Source organism: Homo sapiens, chromosome 16, assembly GCF_000001405.40.
Source record: "Homo sapiens chromosome 16, GRCh38.p14 Primary Assembly".
Classification (NCBI taxonomy): Eukaryota; Metazoa; Chordata; class Mammalia; order Primates; family Hominidae; genus Homo; species Homo sapiens.
In genome coordinates this window covers 68,838,947-68,859,764 of record NC_000016.10, presented here as the reverse complement: position 1 = coordinate 68,859,764, position 20,818 = coordinate 68,838,947, and the positions used below count along the sequence as shown (strand labels likewise).

General features: G+C 42.7%; 1 protein-coding gene across 3 annotated transcripts in view, besides 1 other annotated feature; it reads right to left on the bottom strand.

Moving 5' to 3' along the window:
• TANGO6 (transport and golgi organization 6 homolog) overlaps positions 1-16,234 on the bottom strand; it is a 241,652-nt gene extending 225,418 nt beyond the window's left edge. For all 3 annotated transcript variants that reach the window (NM_024562.2, XM_047434632.1, XM_011523327.4), the window contains exon 1: positions 16,054-16,234. In NM_024562.2, the coding sequence (NP_078838.1) occupies positions 16,054-16,147 (94 nt within the window). In that variant the 5' untranslated portion in view covers positions 16,148-16,234. The remainder of the gene's footprint in view (positions 1-16,053) is intronic.
• Positions 15,994-16,263: an enhancer, noted in NCBI's record as "active region_11033". NCBI's record gives its function as "activates an Ori minimal core promoter by ATAC-STARR-seq in GM12878 lymphoblastoid cells {active_cell/tissue: GM12878}" and the evidence as "EXISTENCE:reporter gene assay evidence [ECO:0000049][PMID:35858748]".

Genomic DNA, 20,818 nt, shown 5'->3' with positions numbered 1-20,818 from the left:
CTGGAAAGCCTCCCCCAGGGGTACCAACCCAGCCTATGAAGAATTTAAGACCACATTTTCTGCCTTCCCACAGCACTTTGCATGTAATTGGAGTAGTGTACTAACGTTACAGTTCATCTAGTTTGTTTCTATTCCCCACATGTTTTTAGGGCAGAGACCAGGTCTTAATCATCTTACTGGGCTTAAATTGTAGCCAGAACAGAAATATAAAAGCTGAACATTTACCATAGAACATGCACTCAGTCCAGCTGTTCTAGGTGCTGGGGATAAAGCACTGAACAGAACAAAGGCTCTGGCCAGGTGCGGCAGCTCATGCCTGTAATCCCAGCACTTTGGGAGGCCAAAGTGGGATGGTTGCATGAGCCTAGGAGTTCAAGACCAGCCTGGGCGACACAGTGAGACCCCATTTCTAAAACAACTAAAAGAATCAGCTGGCTATGGTGGTGAGTGCCTGTAGTCCCAGCTACTCAGGAGGCTGAGGTGGGAGGATCGCTGGAGCCCAGGAAGTCGAGGCTGCAGTGAGCTGAGACTGCGCCACCGCACTCTAGCCTGGGTGACAGAGCAAGACCCAGTCTCAAAAACAAAAAACAATAACAACAAAAAAACAGAACAAAGGCTCTTCCTCATGGAACTTACATTCTAGTGAGGAAGATCACAAAATATGGACACAGGGCTCAAACATTAATTTAACCACATCGTTTCCCCCCAGAATATGTATTTTCAACAGATATCTATTTCCTATCAAGTATGTTCTCTGACTACAATGGCATTAAGACAGAAAGTATTAACAACAAAACATCCAAAAAGCCTTAAATGTTTGGAAATTAAACAATGTACTTCTAAAATAATCTACGGTCAAAAAAGAAATTACAAGATTTCCAACTGAATGCTAACGAAAAACATCAATATTTGTTGGATATAACTAAAGCAATGCTTATAGAGACATTTATAGCTGTAAAGCTTATATCAGAAAAGTAAAAAGGACCAGGCACAGTGGCTGACATCTGTAGTCTCAGTACTTTGGGAGGCCAAGGCAGGAGGATCGCTTGAGCCCAGGAGTTTGAGATCAGCCTGGGCAATGTAGGGAGAGCCCGTCTCTAAAAACATTAAAAAAAAAATAGCCAAGTGTGGTGGTGCACACCTGTGGTCTCAGCTACTCAGGGGGCTGAGGTAGAGGGACTGCTTAAGCCTGGGACATAGAGGCTGCAGTGAAAGAAAAGAAAGAAGGTTTAAAGCACAACTGAGAAATTAATGAACATTATGCCAAAAACCAAACAATATACGTGAAATGAAAATATTCCTTGAAAAGTACAACTTATCAAAACTGTCACAAGACAAAAATAAAAACCCTAAATAACCCTATATGTATTAGATAGTTAAATTTGTTACCTAAAAATCTTCCGCTGGGCGCGGTGGCTCACGCCTATAATCCCAGCACTTTGGGAGGCTGAGGTGGGAGGAACACTTGAGGTCAGGAGTTGGAGACCAGCCTGGCCAACATGGTGAAACCCCATCTCTACCAAAAATACAAAAATTAATCGGGCATGGTGGCAGGTGCCTGTAATTCCAGCCACTCAGGAGGCTGAGGCAGGAGAATTGCTTGAACCCAGGAGGCAGAGGTTGCAGTGAGCAAAGATCGTGCCACTGCACTCCAGCCTGGGTGACAGAGTGAGACTCTGTTTCAAAAAAAAAAAAAAAATCTTCCGAGAGATAAAATTTCAGGCCTAGATGGTTTCACTGATGAATCATTTAAGGAAGAAATAACATCAAGGTTACCCAAACTCTTTCAGAAAATAAAGAAGGAATATTGTTCAATTTATTTTGAGAGGTCATTAGAATACTCATCCCAAAACCTGACCCTGATAAAATCACAAAAAAGAAAATTACTGATCAATATCCCTCATTAATCTAAACTTAATAATCCTTACTTAAAAACCTAAACTTATAAAATAGTACACATGGCAAACAAGCATATGAAAAGATGCCCAATATCATATGTCATTAGGGAAATGCAAATTAAAACAACAGCCAGATACCATTATATACCTATTAGAATGGCCAAAATCCAGGACACTGACAACATTAAATGCTGACAAGGATGTGGAGCAACAGGAACTCTCATTCATTGCTGGTGGGAATGCAAAATAGTATAGCCACTTTGGAAGACAGTTTGGCAGTTTCTTACAAAGTTAAACATACGATCCAGCAATTGTGCTCCTGGGTATTTATCCAAATGAGTTGAAAACTTATGTCCACACAAAAAAACTGCATATGTATGTTTACAGTAGCTTTATTTATAATTACCAAAAAACTGGGAGCAACCAAGATGATCTTCAAAAGGTGAAAGGATTTTTTTTTAGAAAGAAAAAAAAAAAGAATGGATAAACTGTGCTACACTCAGACAACAGAATATTAATCAGTGATAAAAAGAAATAAGCTATCAAGCCACAAAAGACATGGAGGACCCTTAAATGCATAATTCTAAGTGAAAGAAGCCAGTCTGAAGAGCTGTATTCTGTATAATTCCAACTACATGACATTCTGGAGGAGGCAAAACTATAGAGACAGTAAAAAGATCAGGAGTAGCCAAGAGATCAGGGATGGGGCAGGAAAGAATATGTGGAGCATGGTTTTTGTTTTTGTTTTTGTTTTTTATTTGAGACAGTCTCGCTCTGTCGCCCAGGCTGGAGTGCAGCGGTGCGATCTTGGCTCACTGCAAACTCCGCCTCCTGGGTTCAGGCCATTCTCCGGCCTCAGCCTCCTGAGTAGCTGGGACTACAGGGGCCCGCCACCATGCCTGGCTAATTTTTTGTATTTTTAGTAGAGATGGGGTTTCACCGTGTTAGCCAGGACGGTCTCGATCTCCTGACCTCGTGATCCGCCCACCTTAGCCTCCCAAAGTGCTGGGATTACAGGCATGAGCCACCGCGCCTGGCCAAGGAAGCATGGTTTTTTAGGGAGGTGAAACTATACTGTATGAGACTATAATGATGGATATATGATATTATGCATTTGTCAAAACTCATAAAATTATATAACACAAACAGTGAACCCTAATATAAACTATTACTTCAGTTAATAACAATGTATCAACATTGGTTTATCAGTTGTAACAAATGTAGTACACTAATGCAAGATGTTAATGGGGAAACTAGGTTTGGGGTAGGGAAGGGAGTATATGGGAACTCTGTACTTTCTGCTCAAATATTCTATAAACCAAAAGCTGTTCTAAAAAACGGAATCTATTAATAACTTTTAAAAATGCTTAAATATTAGCAAATCAAATGCAGTGATATAGAAAAGAATAATACTTCATTACCAAGTGTGGTTTATGCCAGGAATACATAGTTGGCTTAACACTTGACACTCAATCAGTGTGATTCATCTTATTAACAGTATAAGGAGAAAACCCACGTGATCATTTCAACAAACGCAGAAAAAGCATTTGACAAAATTCAACACTCGTTCATGACACAAATTAAGAATAAAAGGGAACTTCTACGATCTGATAAAGGGTATCCACGGACAAACCTACAGTTACCATCATACTTAGTGGTGAAGTAAAATAAACACAGGATGTCTATTCTCACTTCTATTCAACATATTACTGAAAATCTTTGTCATTGAAATAGGTCAAAAGCAGCAATAAAAGACATACAAGAGCAGAAAGGAAGAAGCAAAATTGTTTATATTCACAGATGGAATCATTGTTTATGTAAAAAGCCCTAAGGACTCTATAAAACAACTACTAGAACTAATAAATTAATTTAGCAAGTTCACAGAATACAAGCAATAAAACAAAAATTAAAAAACAAAAAAAGACATTTTATTTTATATTTGCAGCAAAAATGAGAAAATGAAATTTAATTTTTTTTTTTTTTTTGAGACTGAGTCTTGCTCTGTCAAGGCTAGAGTGCGGTGGCACAATCTCAACTCACGGCAACCTCCACCTCCCAGGTTCAAGAGATTCTCCTGCCTCAGCCTCCTGAATAGCTGGGATTACAGGCACCCGTAATAATGCTTGGCTAATTTTTTTGTATTTTTAGTAGAGATCGGGTTCCACCATGTTGGCCAGGCTGGTCTCAAACTCCTGACCAGGTGATCCACCTGCCTCAGCCTCCCAAAGTGCTGGGATTACAGGCATGCACCACCACGCCCGGCTGAAATTTAAAACTTTTTTTTTTTGAGACAGTTTTGTTTTGTCTCCCAGGCTGAAGTGCAGTGGTGCAATCTTGGCTCACTGCAAGCTTTGCCTCCTGGGTTCAAGCAATTCTCGTGCCTCAGCCTCCCCAGTAGCTGGGACTACAGGCGCATGCCACCACACCCGGGTGATCTCTTGTATTTTAGTAGAGATGGGGTTTCACCATGTTGCCCAGGCTGGTCTCAAACTCCTGAGCTCAGGTGATCTGTCTGCCTTGGCCTCCCAAAGTGCTGGCATTACAGGTGTGAGCCACCACGCCTGGCCTAAAACTTTAATTTAGGATAAATTTAACACAAAATATACAAACTCTCTACACTGAAAACTTGCTGAGAAATTTTTTATGTTTTATTTTTTTTTGAGACGGAGCTTCATTCTTGTCACCCAGGCTGGAGTGCAATGGCGGATCTCAGCTCACTGCAACCTCCACTTCCCAGGTTCAAGCGATTCTCCTGCCTCAGCCTCCCAGGTAGCTGGGTAGTTGCAGTAAGCTGAGATCACGCCATTGGACTCCAACCTGGGTGACAGAGCAAGACTCTGTCTTGGAAAAAAAAAAAGAAAAAAGATGGCAATTGTCCACAAATTGATCTATAAAGTCAACGCAATTACAATAAGAATCTCAACAGACCTTTTTGCAGAAATTGACAAACTGATTAAAAAATTTATATAGAAACCTATAAGACCCAGAACAGTCAAGAACAATGTTAGAGAACTTATACTACCCAACTTACTATAGAACTACAGAAATTAAAGACAATGTGGTACTGGCATAAGGACTGTTAGGTAGATTGGTAAAACAGAATTGGGAACCCAGAAACAGTCCCACACTTATATGGCTATTTGATCTTCAATAAAGATATGAAATCAATACAACTGGGAAAGAAAATTCCTTTACCAAATGAGGTTGGAACAACTGGATATCCACATGGGGAAAAAAAAAAAAAAAAACTTTGACCTTTAATTCACACCACACACCAAAATTAACCCAAAACAGATCATAAATACAAAATCTAAACTATAAAACTTCTGGAAGAAAACACAGAAGAAAGTCTTTTATGATCCTAGAGTAGACAACAATTTCTTGTTTTTTGTTTTATTTTGGTTTGTTTCTTTTCTTTTTTTGCAACAGGGTCTTGCTCTGTCACCCAGGCTGGAGTGCAGTGGCCTGATTCCAGCTCACTGCAGCCTTAATCTCCCAGGTTCAAGTGATCCTCCTGTCTCAGCTCCCTAGTAGCTAGGATTACAATTGTGTGCCACCATGCTTGACTAATTATTTATAGAGATGAGGTCTCACTATGTTGCCCAGGCTGGTCTTGAACTCCTATGCTTAAGCAATTCTTCCGCCTCTGCCTCTTAAAGTGCTGGGATTATAGGTGTGAGCCACTGTGCCCAGACAGAATTCTTAAAACATAAAAAGCATGAGCCAAAAGGAAAAAAACTGGACTTCATCAAAATTTAAAACTTATTTTCAAAATATACAGTTCTAAAAATGAAAAGGCAAGCCACAGATAGGGAGAAAATGTTTGCAGTACATATATATGACAAACGCATTGATCCTGAATATATGAAAACAGTTTATAGCTCAATAAAACAAACTATTTTTTAAAAAAATGGACAATTATTCAGATACTTCAAAAAAGAAGTTATTCAAATGACCAACTGCATATGAAAAGATGCTCAATATCATTAATTATTAGGGAAATGAAAATTAAAACCACAATGAGATACCACTACATACACTGGAATGGTTAAAATTTACAAAGATTGACACTACCAAATGACGTGAAGCAACTGGAACTCTCATACACTGTTGGCAGAAGTATGACATGATCAAAGCTCAGTTGGTCTGGCAGTTTCTTAGAAAACCAAACATATACCTACCCTATAATCCAGCAATTCCACTCTAACATACTTGTCCAAGAAAAATTAATACACAATATACATTTTCATAACAAAGACTTGTACAAGAATGTTCATAGCAGCACTATTCATAATACCCCAAAACTGGAAACAGCCCACATAGCCAAAAAGATGTTTCTTGTTTATATTAAATTCTAGAATAGGCAAAACTAATCTACGGGTTAAAAAACCTAGAACCAGTTATCTCTAGGGGAGCAGGAGTGGGAAATGATTGTGAAAGGGCAGAAGGGAACTTTCTGGGATAATAGTAATGATGCATATCTGTTTTTTCTTTAGGTTTCTTTTTTTTTTCCTTTTCTCACCTGGAAGTAACAATGTGTATCTTGACAGGGGTTTCAATGACAAAAGTATATGCTTTTTTTTTTTTTTTAGACAGAGTCTCGCTCTGTCACCCAGGCTAGAGTGCAGTGGTGTGATCTCAGATCACTGCAAACCCTGTCTCCTGGGTTCAAGTGATTCTCATGCCTCAGCCAAGTACATGCATTTTTAAAACTCACTGAATGATGTATGTATTATTTGTGCATTTCATTGTATATAAATTTTACCTAAAACAAATGAACTACAAAAAACCCAAATAAATATTAAACTCTAGTTAATGTTACAATGCTGAAGTGTTTATGGCTAAAATGTACTGATATCTGCAACTTACTTTGAACGCATCAAAAAAAGAGAAAACATGAGTTGATGCATGGATAAATGGATAGAAATGTGATCAAGCAAATATAATAAAATGTGAATTGTGGAATCTAAATGATGTGTATAAGGGTGTTCGCCATATAATTCTTTCAACTTTTCTTTTTTTCTTTTTCTTTTTGAGACGGGGGTCTCGCTCTGTCACCCAGGCTGGGGTGCAGTGATGCAATCACAATTCACTGTACCTTTGATTCTTGGGCTCAAGCAGTCCTCCCATCTCAGCCTCTCCAGTAGCTGGGACCACAGTTGCATACCACCCCACCTGACTAATTTTTTCATCTTTTGTAGAGATGTGGGGGTCTCACTATGTTGCCCAGGCTGGTCTTGACCTCCTGGGCTCAAGCAATCCTCCCGCCTCAGCCTCCCCAAAGTGTTGGGATTACAGGCATGAGCTACTGCACCTGGCCACGAGCTTTTCTATTTGTTTAGAAAACCATAATAAAATTTTGAAAATATATATGGACATCAGCCAGGTCAAATAAACTAAATTTTTTTTTTGAAAATATAAATACAAGCAACAGACCTCAAAACTAAAGCTAATATACCTTGTAAGAAACAAATTAGAAGGAATCAAAATGTAATTGATAATAACTATGTCCAATACTGCATGATTTATAATAGTGTAAAATTAGAAATGCATGTCCCATAACAGGTGTTTGTTGAGTAAATTATGGTCTAATTCTATCTAACATACTATATGTATGTGAAGTACTTATTTTGTTTATTGTTTATTGTCTTTCTACCAACTAGAATCAAAGCACCTAGAAAACAGGGGTATTGATTTGTTTTGTTCACTGCTGTATTCTCTTTGCCTGGAACAAAGCCTGACAAGTAAAAGCTGTTTAATAAATTGTTGTTGAATGAATAAACAATGGAATATTTTGTAGCCATTAAATGCTGAACATTATTTAATGACATGTTCATAATATATTCGAATGTGAACAAAGAGTATAAAACATTACATGAGCAAAAGATACAGACAGTTTATAGGAAAAGAAATGCAAATGGCCCTTAAACATGAACATATGATCAATCTTGCTCATAATAAGAGAAAAGTAAATTAAAGTTATACTGAAATATCACTTTCCATCTATCGAACTGGCTAAAATCCAAAAGTTTTATAACACATTCTGTAGCAAGTCTGTGAGGAAACACACACTCTCATACATTGTTGGTAGGAACTAAAATGGTACATCCCCAAGGACAGAAATTTGGCAATATCTAGCAAAATTACATAGGCATTTCCCTTTGGCCCAGCAATCCCACTTTTAGGAATCTATCCTATAGATACACAGGCAAACAATGCAAAATTACGTATTTACAAGACTATTCATTGCAGTACTTCTTAAATTAGCAAAAGACTTGAAAACAACCCAAATGTCCACTAGTAGAGAACTGGTTGAATAAACTATGCAGCTATAAAAGAGAAAACGGAAGATTTATACGTACCATCATGTACCGATTGCTAAGACACTAAATTTAAAAAGTAAGATGCAGGCCGGGCGTGGTGGCTCATGCCTGTAATCCCAGCACTTTGGGAGGCCGAGGTGGGCGGATCACAAGGTCAGGAGTTCGAGGCCAGCCTGACCAACATGGTGAAACCCTGTCTCTACTAAAAATAAAAAAATTAGCCAGGTGTGGTGGCAGGCACCTGTAATCCCAGTTACTCGGGAGGCTGAGGCAGGAGAATCGCTTGAACCTGGGAGACGGAGGTTGCAGTGAGCCGAGATTGCGCCACTGCACTCCAGCCTGGGAGACAGAGCGAGACTCCATCTCAAAAATAAAAATAAAATTAAAATTAAAAGACGCAGAAAAAAATATATATAGTATGCTACCTTTTGTGTAAAAATGGGAATGAATAGGAAATCACAGATTATTTGCATGTCTTTTCAAAAAAGAAGCAATTTAAGAATAAATTTAAAGCTAATTAAAATAAGTCATCTACAGAGAGAGGGAGAGAGCAGAGGAGGAAACATGGATAACTGTATCTAATTTTATTAGTTTTAGAGCACAACAGATGTTTTTCATAGTTAAAAAAATTAAATCAAAAAGAAAATGCAAAACAATTCCTAAAAATGAAAAACAAACAAATGAACCAATGAACCAAATTCTGCGCTCTATGTCAAAGGTCACCAAACTATGATCTGCAGTCCAAATCTGGCCCACCAACTGTTTTCATGAATAAGGTTTTACTGGAACACAGTTATGCCCATTTACATATAGTCTATGGCTGCTTTTGAGATACAGTGACAGAGTTGAGTAGTTACAACAGAGACCATATGGGCCGCAAAGCTCAAAATATTTACTATCTGGTCCTTCAGAGAAAAAGTTTACTAACTCCTACTCTATATTAAGTTAGCAGCATAACCACACAGAAAATTATTTTAAGAGACTTGAAATAAAGAATTTTGTATATCCTGAGAACAAAAACCAAACAAAAACCCCTTAAACAGTGGGTTTGTAGTGGTAATGTTGGATTTGTTCTTTGAAAAGATTATAGACCTGGATGAGTATGTATTGTGTGATTACACATTTTATATAATGTGTGATTATATATTTATATATGTATGGGTATGTATACATGCACATATATAATACATTAATTTCATTAGGAACCAATATTCTCAGATAAAAGAAATACAAATATAAAAATATAAAATATAGGATAAAAGAACAGCTAGAGGCTGGACGCAGTGGCTCACACCTGTAATCCCAGCACTTTGGGAGGCTGACGTGGGTGGATCACGAGGTCAGGAGTTCGAGACCAGACTGGTCAACATAGTGAAACCCCATCTCTACCAAAAATACAAAAATTAGCCGGGCTTGGTGGCACATGCCTGTAGTCCCAGCTACTTGGGAGGCTGAGGCAGGATAATCGCTTGAACCTGGGAGGCGGAGGCTGTGGTGAGCGGAGATTGAGCCACTGCACTCCAGCCTGGACAACAGAGCAAGATTCCGTCTCAAAAAAAAAAAAAAAAAAAAGAACCGCTAGAAAGACAAATATGTAATCAAGCAATTACAGTAAAATTGTAACTATAGAATGAAGGTCATGGTATTTTCACTGTAAAAGTTCTTCAACTTTTCTGTCAGCTTCATAATTTCAAATTTTCATAATGAAATGTTAGAAAAAATTTATAAAATAAAAAAATCCATTCTATTTCATTTCAATTGGAAATACTGGTAAGAACTCAAGATTTATTTTCATTTTCTAAAAATCCACATATTTCCTGGCTCTAATCCTTCAAAAAGTCTGAAAGCAATGACAATTTCTTTTTCCTTTTCATTTTTTTTTTTGAGACAGGGTCTCACTCTGTCACCCAGGCTGGAGTGCAGTGGTATAATCATAGTCCATTGCACCCTCAAACTCCGGGGCTCAGCTGACCCTCCTATCTTAGCCTCCAAAGCATCGGGGACCACAGGCATGTGCCATCATGCCCAGCTAATTTCTGTATTTTGTTTTTTTTAATTTCTGTATTTTTTGTAGAGACAGTGTTTTACTATGTAGCCCAGGGTAGTCTTGAACTCCTGGGCTCAAGCAATCTGCCCACTTCAGCCTCCCAAAATGCTGCGATTACAGGTATGAGCCACCACATCCAGCCAATGATAATTTCTTTTTTTTTGGGACAGGGTCTCACTTTGTCGCCCAGGCTGGAGTGTAGTTGCACAGTCTCGGCTCACTGCCACCTCCGCCTCAGGGGCTCAAGCAGTTCTCCTGCCTCAGCCTCCAAGTAGCTAGGATTACAGGAGCCCACCATAGCACTCGGCTAATTTTTGTATTTTTAGTAGAGACAGGGTTTCGCCATGTTGGTCAAGCTGGTCTCGAACTCCTGATCTCAAGTGATCCACCCACCTCGGCCTCCCAAAGTGCTGGGATTATAGGCGTTAGCCACTGCACTCGGCCCATAATTTCAATAGCAATGAATATCCTGTGTCCGCATTGCGGTTGCTAAATACCACTTCTCCTTAGAGAGAGTTGTTTTCAAAAATGGGGCAGGAAATACCTCAGATGAGCCTGGGATATCTTCTGCTTGAGAGCAAGGAGTCGATCAAAGACTATCATGGTCATGTCAAAAACCCCAAGAGCCAGTCGGAAATGGTTCCCAGAGGCCAAAAATGGGAAATTTGATTAAGAACAAGGAATACAATAATTGAAACATCAAATACATAAAATCTATGATTCATAATACAACAAAAAAGATCACTTCATTGGTTACCTTTGGAGGTTGCTAAGACACTAATTTATTATTCTGAAAATTGGTCAATAAAGGAACAGAATGATTCTAACTATATTAAAATATATTCGTGTTTATATGCACAGAAAAGGGTCTCAAAGTTTTAATACCTTGAGGTTTTAATAGTGGTGATCTCTGGGTGATAGGGTTAGAGGTAGGATTTTTCTTTTTACCTAATTATAGTTTCAATTGTTTTTTTACAATAAATATGTATTGTCTCTGCACTAGAAGTTATTTTAGGGTTATAAAACAGTATGTGGCATATGAGATCATTTTTGTAAAAAGGAAAAATAATACGCTCTGAATTGCTAATAGTGGTACCCTCTGGGTAGTGAAATTAAGGTAATTTTAATTTTCTTCTTTTTGGTTTCTCTATATTTAAAAAATCTTTGCTATAATATTTTTTATAGAAGTAAAAACATTACTTCTATTTTTAAAAAAGAATAAAAGGAAAGCTGTCACAGTGACATCCCTGTAGTCCCAGCTAGCTGGGAGGCTGAGGTAGAAGCATCACCCGAGCCCAGAAGTTTGAGGCTGCAGTGTACTATGATCACTTCTGTGAATAGTCACTGTACTCCCGGCTGGGCAACACAGGGAGACCCTGTCTCTATTTAAAAGAGAGAGAGAGAAACAGAGAGAGAGAGAGAAACAATAACATCCTTCAAAAATAATGAGAACAGAAGTGTAAGAAATTTGCAATAGTTTTTTTTTTTTTTTTTTTTGTGATGGAGTCTCACTCTGTCACCCAGGCTGGAGTGCAGTGGTACGATCTCAGCTTACTGCAACCTCTGCCTCCTGGGTTCAAGCGATTCTCCTGCCTCAGCCTCCCGAGTAGCTGGGACTACCGGCGCATGCCACCACGCCCAGCTAATTTTTGTATTTTTAGTAGAGACGGGGTTTCGCCATGTTGGCCAGGCTGGTCTCGAACTCCTGACCTCGGGAGATCCACCCGCCATGGCCTCCCAAAGTGCTAGGATTACAGGTGTGAGCTACCGCGCTCAGCCTGCAATATTCTTCTAGGACTTTCCAGGACAAGTGTTCTGACCCACTGGCATGAATATCTGGTTCCTTTGGCTAATGTATACCTCAAACGGAAATGAGTGTTATTTCCCTCTTGTTGCCACTAACCGTTAAGATCACTAACCAACCTCTAAATGACTTCCTGTGGCATAAGATCTTCGAACCCAAACATGGAACACAAAGAAAGTGATTTAAAACAAAAGCTCTTACTGAAGTTTTTCCAGAGCCCCTTTAATGAAGTAGTCTTCTCTGCCCTCTACTGGTGATGAAAATAACATCTACTTGGAAATAAATTGGAGGCATTTCCATAAAGTAGCAGTTCCTAGTATGCTATGGGGACCTGGCTTGCCGGGGGTTCCCAAGACCCTCTCAGGGGGTCTGCAAGGTCAAAACCATTTCATAATAATACTAGGTCATGATGTGCCTTTTAGATTCTCAAGAATGTACTATGAGGCTTATTGATATGAGTTCTGATTTCATATTGCAACAAATCTTTAATATATTACCTCTTTGGCCGGGCGCGGTGGCTCACGCCTGTAATCCCAGCACTTTGGGAGGCTGAGGTGGGCAGATCACTTGAAGTCAGGAGTTCGAGACCAGCCTGACCAACGTAGAGAAACCCCATCTCTACTAAAAATACAAAATTAGCAGGGCGTGGTGGCGCATGTCTGTAATCCCAGCTACTCCGAAGGCTGAGGCAGGAGAATCGCTTGAATCCGGGAGGCGGAGGTGGCAATGAGCCGAGATCACGCCACTGCATTCCATCCTGGGCAACAAGAGCGAAACTCCGCCACAAAAAAAAAAAAAAGGTATTACCTCTTGTTGAGTTTCTCGATACTTTTTTCCCCACACAATACATGCAGAGATTATCTTGTTGAGCTTTAGAATTGTATAAAAGACCGGACGTGGTGGCTCACATCTGTAATCCCAGCACTTCGGGAGGCCGAGGCGGGAGGATTACGAAGTCATGAGTTCCAGACCAGCCTGGCCAATATGGTGAAAACCTGTCTCTACTAAAAAAAAAAAAAAAAAAAGAAAATTAGCCAGGCACAGTGGCATGTGCCTGTTGTCCCAATTACTCGGGAGGCTGGGGCAGGAGAATTGCTTGAACCTGGGAGGCGGAGGTTGCAGTGAGCCGAGATCGCACCACTGCACTCCAGCTTGGGCGACAGAGCAAGACTCCGTCTAAAAAAAAAAAAGAAAGAATCGTATAAAAGAATGTACATAATTATTTGAAAAGGTGATTGAACTCTCCTCCCTTTTCCAGTTACATATCTATGTGAGTCTAGGTTTTCTTCATGTACTTCAGTCAAAACAACCTATCATGACAGACTGGAGAAGCAGATATGAAAATCCAGCTGACTTCTTGAGGTTGGGCATGGTGGCTCGCGCCTGTAATCCTAATCCTAGTACTCTGGGAGGTCAAGGCAGGCAGATCACCTGAGGTCAGGAGTTCGAGACTCGCCTGGCCAACATGGTGAAACGCCGTCTCTATTAAAAGTACAAAAAATTAGCCGGGCATGTGGCGCATGCCTGTAATCCCAGCTACTCGGGAGGCTGAGGTAGAAGAATCACTTGAACCTGGGAGGTGGAGGTTGCAGTGAGCTGAGATTGCGCCACTGCACTCCAGCCTGGGCAACAAGAGCGAAATTCCATCTCAAAAAATAATAAAAGTACAAAAATTAGCCAGGCATGGTGGTGGGTGCCTATAGTCCCAGCTACAAGGGAGGCTGAGGCATGAGAATTGCTCGAACCCGGGAGGTGGGGGTTCCGGTGTGTCAAGATCATGCCACTGCACTCCAGCCTGGGTGATGGAGTGAAACTCTGTCTCAAAAAAAAAACAAAAAACAAAAAACAAAATAGGGTCTTACTCTGTCACCCAAGGCCGGAGCACACTAGTGTAATCATGGTTCACCACAGCCTAGACTTGGACCTCTCAGGCTCAAGCAATCCTCCCATCTCAGCCTCCCCAGTAGCTGGGACCACAGGTGTGTAGTACCATGCCTGGCCAATTTTTTAGTTTTTTGTAGACACAGAGTATCACTATGTTGCCCAGTCTGGTCTCAAACTCCTGGGATCCTGCCTCAGCCTCCCAAAGTGCTGGGATTACAGGTATGGCCCACCTCGCCCAGCCACTACAGATATTTTTAAATTCCCTAAGCAGCTAATATGATAAAATAGTAGACAGATTCATATAATATATAAGACTACATGTACAAAATAATATAATTTCACGAACTAATTCCTCTTCAAATAGGAATGCTTGAATTTCTGTAAATTAAATGAGTACATATATGTGTACTCCACCACATACTCATAGAGATTAGAGAGTCTTCTATAAATGAAGCATAATATACATGTTTCATAACAGATGATTACTTTCAGGATTTTTGCTTATTTAAACGTGTTCTCAGTCATACAATAGAGAGTTGCAGGCCAGGTGTAGTGGCTCAGGCCTGTAATCCCAGCACTTTGGGAGGCCAAGGCAGGCAGATCACTTGAGGTCAGGAGTTCGAGACCAGCCTGGCCAACATGGCAAAACTCCGTCTCTACTAAAAAGACAAAAATTAGCTGGGCATGGTGGTGTGCACCTGTAATCCCAGCTACTCGGGAGGCTGAAGCAGGAGAATCGCTTGAACCTGGGAGGCAGAGGTTGCAGTGAGCCGAGATTGTGCCACTGCACTCCAGCCTGGGCAACAGAGTGAGACCTCATCTCAAAAAAAAAAAAAAAAAAGAGTTGCCGTTAGAAGACAAGTGACCTCTCGATTAGCAACTTAAAATTCTATTTTGCAGTCTGACTCTTAATTGAGACAATGTAGCATATTTACCATACTTTTAGTGGAAATAACCTAAATTCAAATTCTGCCACTTACTAGTCTGACATTGGGCAATTTCCAATGTACCTGAACCTTGGTCCTTCATCCGTAAAAATTGAATACAAGTAGTACCGATCCCAGGGGATCGTAATGAGGATTAAATGATGTGTATGTCAACAGCCTACTATGGGGACTGATACTTAGTAGGCACTCATTTACTAATATTAGTAACTTGTGTTCACTTCCCGCTGGTGTGGTGTAATGTTTGCAGAAGTTTTTGCAGTTTTAAGTATAAAATCTGAGACTGGGAGGTGATCCCCTTTGGCCTTTCATGTGCCCTTGCTAATTCTACAGATCCCTTCCCATCCCTTCCCCCAAATATACACCCCAGTGATAAGCAGAGCTCTATCTTCCACGTCCTTTCCAAAAGCTCCAGATAACATCAGAGCCCCTATACTGAACAATTTGTCTGATTCTGAGAAGGGGGTTCAGTAGATCTCGGGCCTAGGTCCGTGTTCTGCCCCTAATTTGACCACGTGATCTTGGACAGGTTACTTAATTTCTTCAGTGAGCCTTGGGTGTCCTCAGTCGCAAAAGGAGTAGCAGCTTCAACCACTCCCAATATCCCTTCAGATTTTAGACTGGGAAGAAACTGTCCACGCACCACAAAGATTAAAAGCGCCTGGTAACCCCTAAATACTCTCCCCAAACCCATTTCAAACGTCACTGCTTCCGATGTCTGGACTTCTTGGCATTTCGTACAAATCTCAAGGGTCCATGCTGGCCCCTGCGCCCTCACGCGGCTAGGACCTCACATTTCTACGTCGCGGGCGCCCTACCCTCTCTGGAGCTGGGTCCATATCCCCCTCCCAAGAGCGCTGCAGTAAGCACTGAATGAAATAACGGCCCCGCCTGACAGAGCCCAGCACAAGGCAAATGCTCAAGAGATGTTGGCTAATATCAGCAGTCAACGGATCCCGCGCCCTCCTTGAGCCTCAGTTTCCTCAAGAACGTAATGAGGACGGGCATAGACAATGCTCAAAGCCCCCAGCAGCGGGCGGAGGGTCCCGAGGCGGGCCTAAGGGGCGCACGCTGCGGAAGGCAGGGCAGCCCCGGAAGCCGGGCGGCCCTGAGAGTCCCGGGTCCAGCCCGGCGCGGAGATGCGTCCTCTCACCTCCCGGGCTCAGCAGCAGCTTCAATGCCTCCAAAATCCGATCCAGACCGCATGTCTCCTGAGCCCCGCTGCCCACGGCCTGTCGGGCCGCCATGACTGGAGTGTAACACCACGCTCGCGACCCGCTCAGGCGCCTCGGCAGGGCGCCGCCGCCGCCATGTTAAGTGTGGCAGAAGGCTCTGGGCACACTATGGGGCGGGGCCAAATCGATCGGGAACGCCCCCTTCACATTTTTTTTCCGTCCCGGCTTAGTCCGGGGGGTAAGAGGGAACCCAAAAATGGCTAATCTGCCCACGCGCACAATTTCAGAAGCTCAATATGATTAACCGCTATGTAAAGAAGGAAGAGAGAAGTAATGTATCATTAAAGCTATATTTCAATATGAAAATACTCAGGTACTCAACACTGGCAGACATAATGAAGCAGACAGATGCTTCCATCTGCTTACAGTGAAGTATGGATAAGAAAAACAATATTCAGGCTGGGCGCGGTGGCTCACACCTGTAATCGCAGCACTCTGGGAGGCCGAGGCGGGCAGATCACAAGGTCAGGAGTTTGAGACCAACCTGTCCGATATGGTGAAACCCCGTCTCTACTAAACATACAAAAATTAGCCAGGCGTGGTGGCGGGCGCCTGTAGTCCCAGCTACCCGGGAGGCTGAGGCAGGAGAATCGCTCGAAGCTGGGAGGTCGAGGTTGCAGTGAGCCGAGATCACACCACTGCACTCCAGCCTGGGCGACAGAGCGAGACTCCATCTCAAAACAAACAAACAAACAAAACCTAAGTACAGACGTACACACGCATATATATCCATCGTGAATGTAAAGCTACAAATGTTGTTATGGGTAATATGATTTTTTTTTTCAGTGAACTTAGTAAAGTTCCCAGTAAAAGTTCGATCTGTGTTCTGTTTTCATGGTTGATGCATTCCTCGAAAATTCAGGGTCTATCAAAACCATGCCCTCCGCCAAACTGTTTTTATATGTAAAACAGAATGGATTTGAGATTCAGATTATCGGAAACAGGTTTTCACCTACATAAATCCTGGTGGGACGTTGAAAAACCATGTTGTCTGAAAGTCATGCCGCAGACACAGGACAATGTTTTTGAGGGCAGGACCTTTATTTTTATTTTATTTTTTGAGATGGGGTCTCGCTCTGTCGCCTAGGCTGGAGTTCAGTGGCGTGATCTCGGCTCACTGCAACCTCTGCCTCCCAGGCTGAAACAATTATCTGGCCTCAGCCCCCCGAGTAGCTGGGATTACTGGAGTGCCCCAGCATGCCCGGCTAATTTTTGTATTTTTTGTGGAGACAAGGTTTCGCCCTCTTGGCTAGGCTGGTCTTGAGCTCCTCACCTCAAGTGACCTGCCCACCTGGGCCTCCCAAAGTGCTGGGATTACAGGCGTGAGCCACTGCGCCCGGCCCAAAGGACAAACTTCTTAATGGTCCGGTCCTTGGGCGAGAATAAGCTGCGCATAGCTATTACCCTTTTTGGCATGACTCTTGTTTCTTCTTTTCTTTGTCATTTTGGAATGCAGGGCCTGAGAGGGAAAAACGCTAAAAATTTTTTTTTAGAGATGGAGTCTCTATGTTGCCCAGACTTGTCTCAAACTCCTGGCCTCAAGTGATCCTCCTGCCTCAGCCTTCCGAATAAAATCTTGTGTGTGTGTGTGAGACAGAATCTCACTGTCACCCGGGCTGAAGTGCAGTGGTGTGATCTTGGCTCACTCCAACTTCTGCCTCCCCTGCTCAAGTGATCCTCCCGCCTCAGCCTCCCAAGTAGCTGGGACTACAGATGCATGCCACCACACCCGGCTAATTTTTGTAGAGATGGCGTTTCACCATGTCACCCAGGCTGGTCTCAAACTCCTGGGCTCAAGCAATTTGCCCATTTCGACCTTCCAAAATACTGAAATTGCAGGCGTGAGCCACCGGTTCTGGCCTTAAAAATATTTTTGAATGGGAAATAAATCACCTACAAAATTGCCACTGTGCTCTTTTTATTTTGTGTATTCCTTTCCAGGTTTTGTCATTAGACAATGTTTTCTCCATTGTGTATGGGCACAGGTTCATTTGGGAAATAAAAAATTTTAAGAGTATTTTGAGATGTTAAACATTTAGTGAGACGGGGGTAAAGCACTGTGTGGGGAAGGCTTGAGGGGTTTGGTGCAAAAGTACAGGTAGAGGCCCTCACGCCGCCAGCCTAAATGTTTCAGTGTTAGAAATCAAGCGAAGAGACTGGTAACTAAAATATTTTCTATCCTCCTACCTTGAAAATTCTATCAAGTTTGAATTCAAAATTCTCAGACTGTCTCAGAGCTCCACAATGGAGACCTCTGGTCTGACCCATTTTTCTTCTCACCAGCATCTCCATCCTGCACCATGAAGGCTGGGCACTTAGATGTGTGGGCACCCACAGCCCTGCACATTCAGGTTCTGTCCACACCCCACACCCCATCCCTTCCACAGAGCAGCTACCATTTGGCCCCTCTGGGTCTAGAACTGCAGATGGGGGCCGGGCGCGGTGGCTCACACCTGTAATCCCAGCACTTTGGGAGGCAGAGGCGGGTAGATCACAAGGTCAAGAGATTGAGACCATCCTGGCCGACATGGCGAAACCCCATCTCTACTAAAAATACAAAAATTCACTGGGCATAGTGATGTATGCCTATAGTCCCAGCTACTCGGGAGGCTGAGGCAGGAGAACCTCTTGAACCTGGGAGGCGGAGGTTGCAGTGAACCGAGGTCGCGTCACTACACTCCAGCCTGGTGACAAAGGGAGACTTTGTCTCAAAAAAATAAAAAACAAAACAAAACTTCAGACGGGGAGCACAGTGCACCATCCAGAGGGCAGACCCAGGGAAGAGTCCTGCAAAGCCCTAGAAGAAGGCCTGGGATGGTTGGGCAGGGAATTCCAGGGCCTCAGAATCCAGAGTGTGGGCCGGGTGTGGTGGTTTATTCCTGTAATCCCAGCACTTTGGGAGGCTGAGGTGGGAGGATTTCTTTTGCCCAGGAGTTTGACACCAGGCTGGGCAACATAGGGAGACCCTGTCTCTATAAAATAAATACAAAAATTAGCCAGTCAGGAGTTCGAGACCAGCCTGACCAACATGGTGAAACCCCATCTCTACTAAAGATACAAAAATTAGCCAGGCGTGGTGGTGCACACCTGTAATCCTAGCTGCTCAGGAGGCTGAGGCAGGAGAATCGCTTGAACCCAGGAGTGAGCCAAGATCGCGCCACAGCACTCCAGCCTGGGCGACAGAGTGAGACTCTGTCTCAAAAAACAAACAAACAAAGAACATGGAGTGTGGTCTTGGAGGAGGGTGAGGATTTGGAGATTTGGATGGGCAAGTCCCCCAGGCCTGGCAGATTTCTTGCCCAGGGTGGGGGGCATGGTGGAGGTGGCCAGATGGAGCTTCTCAAGCATGGGCCCAGGGCCAGGAGACCACCAGGCCTAAGTCTAAGGGCAGTACTGGTGTGGGATTTACAAAAGATCATTACAGGATATTCAGAGCTGAGAATCCTTTATCCCAAAGTATTACAAGACCTAGACATCTCTTCTGTTTTTATCTCTCAGGCTCTGTGGGCTGAGCCAACACAAATTGTCATGCATAATTTCAAAAGCAATGTCATAAGATCCCATAAAAATTCTTGCAGCAAAGTAATATATCCCATGTGGAACACTGGGTGTATTTTAATATGTGTGATAGGATGTTGGAGGAGTGCCTGAGTCCACGAGGCTGTAGCGTAAATTGGCCCTCGTCTAAAGAAGAAGAAACACGCTCAGGCTTCTCCCAGCCTCAAATTATTCAGATGTGCTTTAAGTACCCTGTTTCTGTAGAATTTTGTATTTAAGCTTATGGAATTTTAGTTTATAGGACTTGAATTCTGGTAGCCCCTTCCTTGGTTTGCTCTTGGCAGCTTTATTAAAACACAGAAGTACGGCTGGGCGTGGTGGCTCACACCTGTTATCCCAGCACTTTGGAAGGCGGAGGTGGGCAGATCACCTGAGGTCAGGAGTTCAAGACCAGCATAACTTACAAGGTTAAATCTTGTCTCTACTAAAAATACAAAAATTAGCCTGGTGTGGTGGGGCACACCTGTAATTCCAGCTACTCAGGAGGCTGAGGCAGGAGAATTGTGTGACCCCAGGAGGCGGAGGTTGCAGTGAACTGAGATCGTGCCACTGCACTCTAAATGCTTTGTACATATCAACTCATTTAGTGCTCAAAACACTATAAAGCAAATACAATTACCCTCTTTTTTTTGAGACAGAGTCTCTCTCTGTCGCCCAGGCTGGAGTGCAGTGATGCGATCTTGGCTCACTGCAACCTCCTCCGCCTCCCGGGTTCAAGCGATTCTCCTGCTTCAGCCTCCCAAGTAGCCGGGACTACAGGCCGCGCCAACACGCCCAGCTAATTTTTGTATTTTTAGTATAGACAAGGTTTCACTAAGTCGGCCAGGCTGGTCTCGAACTCCTGACCTCAGGTGATCTGCCCACCTCGGCCTCCCAAAGTGCTGGGATTACAGGTATGAGCCACCGCACCTGGCCCAATTACCCTCATTTTAGAGATGAAGACACTGAGGCATAGAAAGGTCAGGTCACTTATCTAAGCTCATAGCTGGAAAGGACAGAATCAGGATTTGAACTCAGACAGCACAACTCTAGTGTCTTGGCATCTAATGAACCAGCAAAAGAACAGAGGAGGTGTTCCCCAGGTCTCCTGTGCTTCCAGACCCTTGCTGGGGGCAACTGCCTTCA